Below are 5033 nucleotides of genomic sequence, written 5' to 3' on the forward strand. Positions count from 1 at the left end.
TCTGGTAAGATTCAGTTCTTTATCCTTCCAGTCCTACACTTTTTTTTGTTGGAGGATTTTTTATTATCAATTCAAATTTAATCCTTGCTATTGGTCTATTCTGTGTTTCTATTTCTTCCTGGTTTAATCTCAGGAAGTTGTATGAATCTAGAAATTTATCCATTTCCTCTAGGTTTTCTAGTTTGTGTGCACTGAGGTGTTCTGATCTTTTGTATCTATCTGATATCAGTTGCAATGTCATGTTTATCATTTCTGATTGTGCTTATTTGAATCTTCTCTCTTTTTTCTTGGTTAGTCTAGTGGTCTGTCAATTTTGTTTATCTTTTCAAAAAACCAACTTTTTGTTTTATTGATCTTTTAAATTGTTTTTTTTTGTCTCAATCTCATTTAGTTCTGCTCTGATCTTTGTTATTTCTTTTCTTCTGCTAGCTTTGAGTTTGGTTTGTTATTGTTTTTCAAGTTCCTTAAGGTGTGATGGTAGATTGTTAATTTGAGATCTCTCTATCTTTTCAATGGAGGCATTTAGTGTTATCAACTTTTCTTTAAGCACTGCTTTTGCTCTATGCCAGAGGTTGTTTTATGTTGTATCTCCGTTTTCATTCATTTCAAATAATTTTTAATTTTTGCCTTAATTTTATTGTTTACCCAAAACTCGTTCAGAAACAAATTGTTTAGTTTACGTGTACTTGTATAGTTTTGAGAATTCCTCTTGGTATTGATTTCTAATTTTATTATCCTGTAGTCTGACAAGACACTTTATATGATTTTGATTTTTTTGAATTTATTGAGACTTGCTTTAAGGAGAAGCATATGGTTGATTATGGAGAATCTTTCACGTGTAGGTGAGAAAAATGTATGTTCTGCAGTTGTTTGGTAGAATAAATGTCTATCAGGTCTCTTTGGTCTATTGGCCAGTTTAAGTCCAGAGTTTCTTTGTTGATTGTCTGTCTTTATGATCTGTCTGTTAATGTCAGGGGGTATTGAAATCCTCACTATTATTCTATTGCTATCAATCTGCTTTCTTAGGTTTATTAGTGTTTATTTTATGAATCTGGGTGCTCTGGTATTGGGTTGATATATATTTAGAATTGCTAAATCTTGTTGTGTTGAATCCTTTATTATTATATAATGACTTTGTCTTTTGTAACTGCTCCCATTTTAAGTTTATTAGTTTTATCTAATATGAGTATGTCTATTCCTACTCACTTTCATTTTCCGTTTGTGTTGTATATATTTTTCCACCCTTTTACTTTGAGTCTGAATTTGTCTTTAGGTGCATCTCACGTAGACAACAGATGGTTGTGTCTTGTATTTTTTTAAATCCAATTTGCCACTCTATGTTTAAGTAGGGCATTTAGGCCATTTACATTCAAGGTTAATATTGATATGTGAGGTTCTGTTATTGTTGTAGTATTGTTAGCTAGTTTTGGAGTTTTGATTGTGTATTTGATTTATAGGCTCTGTGAGCATTTTACTTATGTGTCCTTTTTCTGATGCAAGTATCATTTTCTGTTTCCATGTGTAGAACTCGTCTGAGCATCTCTTGTAGCACTGGTCTCATGGTGACAAATTCTCTTAGCGTTTGCTTATCTAAGAAAGGCTTTATTTCCCCTTTATTTATTAAGCTTAGTTTGGCAGGATATAAAATTCTTGACTGGTGTTTTTGAGCTTAAGGATGCTAAAAATAGGCCCCGAAACTCTTTTAGGGTTTCTGCTAAGGAGTCTATTGTTAATCTGATTGTTTGTCTTTTATAGATGATTTGACCTTTTTCTCTAGCTCCCTTTAAGGACTTTTCTCTAGTGTTGACTTTGGATTGTCTGATGACTATATACCTTGGTGGTGTTCATCTTGTACAGTATCTCACATATATTCTCTGAATTTTTTTCTTTTCTTTTGTTTTCTTTTTTTTTTTTTTTTTTAAGACGGAGTCTCACTCACTCTGTCACCCAAGCTGGAGTGCAGTGGCATGATCTTGGCTCGCTGCAACCTCTGCCTCCTGGGTTCAAGCAATTCTCATGCCTCAGCCTCCTGAGTAGCCAAAATTACAGACTTGCACCACCACACTCAGGTAATTTTTGTATTTTTAGTAGAGACGAAGTTTTGCTATGTTGGCCAGGGTGGTCTTGAACTCCTGACCTCAGATGATCCCTCCACCTCAGCCTCCCAAGGTGCTGGGATTACAGACGTGAGCCACTGTGCCCAGCCTGACTATGTTAGTTTTAAATACTGGTTTTCAAGCTCTGAAATTCTTTCTTCTGCTTTATCTAGTCTATTGTTAATGTTTTCTATTTATTTTGAAATTCCTTAAATGATATTTCACTTCTAGACGTTCTGATTTTTAAAAACAAGACATTTATCTCTTTCTTCATTTCCTGGCTTGCTTTCGTAGCTTCTTTGTGTTGGTTTTCAACCTCGTCTTGGATCTCCTTGAGCTTCCTCGTAATCCATACTTTGAATTCTTTATATATCATTTCTGAGTTTCCATTTTGGTTAACGGCCATTTCTAGAGAGCTAGCGTGATCCTTTGGTGGTGTCACAACATTCAAATTTTTTTGTGATGCCATAATTCTTATGCTAATTTCTTCCCATCTGGAGAGCCTGCCACTTCTTATTTTTGACATTCTTTTCATTCAGATGGGATTTTTAGAATTTCCCTATATTTTTCCTCCCAACCCTGGGGTTGTGATTGTAGAGTATGTTGGGTGAGGTCCTTTGGCTTTGCTTCTGTTACCCCGTGCACTTCTGTCTGCAGCTTTTATATTGGCCTGTGCAGTTTGACCTGCGGCCGGTAGATGGCACTTACGAGTAAGAGCCAGCTATAGCACAAAGTATGTACATGGGTATGTACTTGATCTTTGTTTACCGTCAGGTGCTATCTGTTGTTTCAGGTGGTGGGCTGGACAGTGGAGTGCCCAGAGTCCTAAGCTTCCTGTTCAGCAGGGGAATAGACAGAGCTGAACCCCCTGGGTTGTTTATGAATACCCCAGTGATGAGCACAGGCACCAGGCCTAATGAGGGTGACTAGAGGGGCTGCTGGTAAAATGTGCTGAAGTTCTCTGTGGGGCATGAGGAGGTTGCACCAGCTCCATGTCCTAAATAGGAAGAAACATGATCTGTTTGCTTTTCACGCCCCTGTTCTTGGCCTTGTGAATGTCAGTTCAGACACACACTGTTGTCTATCTTCAGAGCCATGACAAGTGCCTCTGTTTCGACTCTCCAAGGGAGTGGTTTTGGGGTTGAACCTCTTCACTCAGCCCAATACAGACATCTTTATGGCTCACCTATTCTCTAACGTGGTAAAATTGCTACATCATGTGGAGGGGAGGGGACTCTGTCTTCTGGCCTGTGTGATGAGCGTCAGCTGTGGGCGTATTGGCTGATTGGATCAGCCCAACCTCAGGCCCTTGGGGGAGTGGTCAGGTGCCAGCAGTGTTGGACTGGACTAGGTAGTTCCCCAGGCCCAGGCCCCAAGATGGTCCACTGGATGGCATGCATGAGTCTCCAAGGGGCTGGACTGGGGTCAGGCCAGCCCTGAGTTCAGGTGCTGTCTGTGATGAGGAGGGGTGGGCTGGTCCTTGGGTCACCCACAGAACTCTCAGGCAGGGACAGGCAGAATGCCAAGGTGGTGGGAGCCTGAGGCAGATCACAAGCCTGTGGGGGTTGGGCTCTCAGAAGGGCCCTGGGCCGCAGCTGAAATGTTCAGATGGGGGCAGGGTGGCTGTGCTGTAAACCTTTCACTGAGAAGGGCAGGTCCCTTCAGCTGGGGCAATGGAGACTCACAGCCATGGGGCATGTGGCACGTTTGCACTTCCCTCCTGCAGAAACAACACTGGATTTCACTGTTAGGGGCATGCAAAGGTGCCAGCCCTCTCTGCTTCCTCCCTGGCCTGGGGGAAGCAAAGGAAGGGGCAGTAGGGGGTGGTGGCTGTAAAGGGCTTGTAAGTGACCTCTGGGAGTAGGGCTTTCAGATTAACACTGAGCCATGGCTACAGTATTCATGCAGGGACCAGGTGGATGCACTGGGGGTCTGAAGCCAGCAAGTCTCATATGGCAGGGAGCAGCAGAGGTGTGGAGTTGTGGGGTGCAGAGTCTGCCCACTGCTCCTCCATATCTCAGCTGCAGCATCTGTGCTGGAGATGCATGACAGTGCCCAGCCTCCCTATTCTCTTCCTGGCCCAGGAGTGGCAGGGGTGGAGACAGTGGCACTGGTGACTGCAAAGCGCCTCTCAGTGACTTCCGGGAGTTGGGTTCTCAGAGGAACACTGGGCCATGGCTGCAGTGTTCAGGTAGGGCTGGGGTGGGTACACTGGGGGCCTGAAGCAGGTAAACCTTATTTGGCAAGGCACAGTGGAGGCAGGAAGTCATGTGGCAGGTAGTCTGGCCACAGTATCTATCCTGGGGATGTGTGAAAGTGCTTGGCCTTCCGGATTTGCAGGGCAGTGGCAGCTGGTGCTGGGTTGCTCAGGAATCAAAAGCCTATGGGAATCCATGTGGCTTTTGGTTGGTGCCTCTGCACAGTCTCCCGGTAGCTCTCGTGTGTGTGTGTGTGTGTGTGTGTGTATGTGTGACTAGGATTTTAAAGGTTCATGGTGGAGGTGTGGATCCCCAGGGGGCTCTCACTCACTCACCCTTCTTCATATTAGCAAGTCTCTCCTGGCTCCGCACCAGTCCCAGCTTGGTGGCTGCTTGGCTTTGCCCTTTTAGCTTTCCATAGGTGCCATCATTTCTCTAGTGAATTTCAGGGTGCTCTCTTTGACTAACTTCTTGAAGTGTTAGTATTTACTCCCTATTTTGGTTTCTCCCGGTGAAAGAGGTGCCTACTACCTGGTTCTAGTCAGTCATCTTAAACTGGAACCTCACTCTGTGCCTTTTAATTGGAGAATGAATTCACTTATATTCAAGGTAAGGATCGATAGCTAAGGACTTATTACTGCCATCTTATTAATGATTTTCTGGTTGTTTTGTAGATCCTGTGTTACTTTCTTTTCCTCTTGCTGCTCTCCTTTGTGATTAGGTGATTTTCTCTAGTGAT

General features: G+C 42.9%; 2 annotated features.

Annotated features, from left to right (window-relative positions):
- Nucleotides 3296-3843: an enhancer, noted in NCBI's record as "H3K4me1 hESC enhancer chr2:40065678-40066225 (GRCh37/hg19 assembly coordinates)". NCBI's record gives its function as "activates a minimal SCP1, AML or CMV promoter by ChIP-STARR-seq in primed H9 embryonic stem cells {active_cell/tissue: H9 hESC(primed)}" and the evidence as "EXISTENCE:reporter gene assay evidence [ECO:0000049][PMID:30033119]".
- Nucleotides 4154-4243: an enhancer, noted in NCBI's record as "active region_15619". NCBI's record gives its function as "activates an Ori minimal core promoter by ATAC-STARR-seq in GM12878 lymphoblastoid cells {active_cell/tissue: GM12878}" and the evidence as "EXISTENCE:reporter gene assay evidence [ECO:0000049][PMID:35858748]".

This window comes from Homo sapiens, chromosome 2, assembly GCF_000001405.40.
Source record: "Homo sapiens chromosome 2, GRCh38.p14 Primary Assembly".
NCBI lineage: Eukaryota > Metazoa > Chordata > Mammalia > Primates > Hominidae > Homo > Homo sapiens.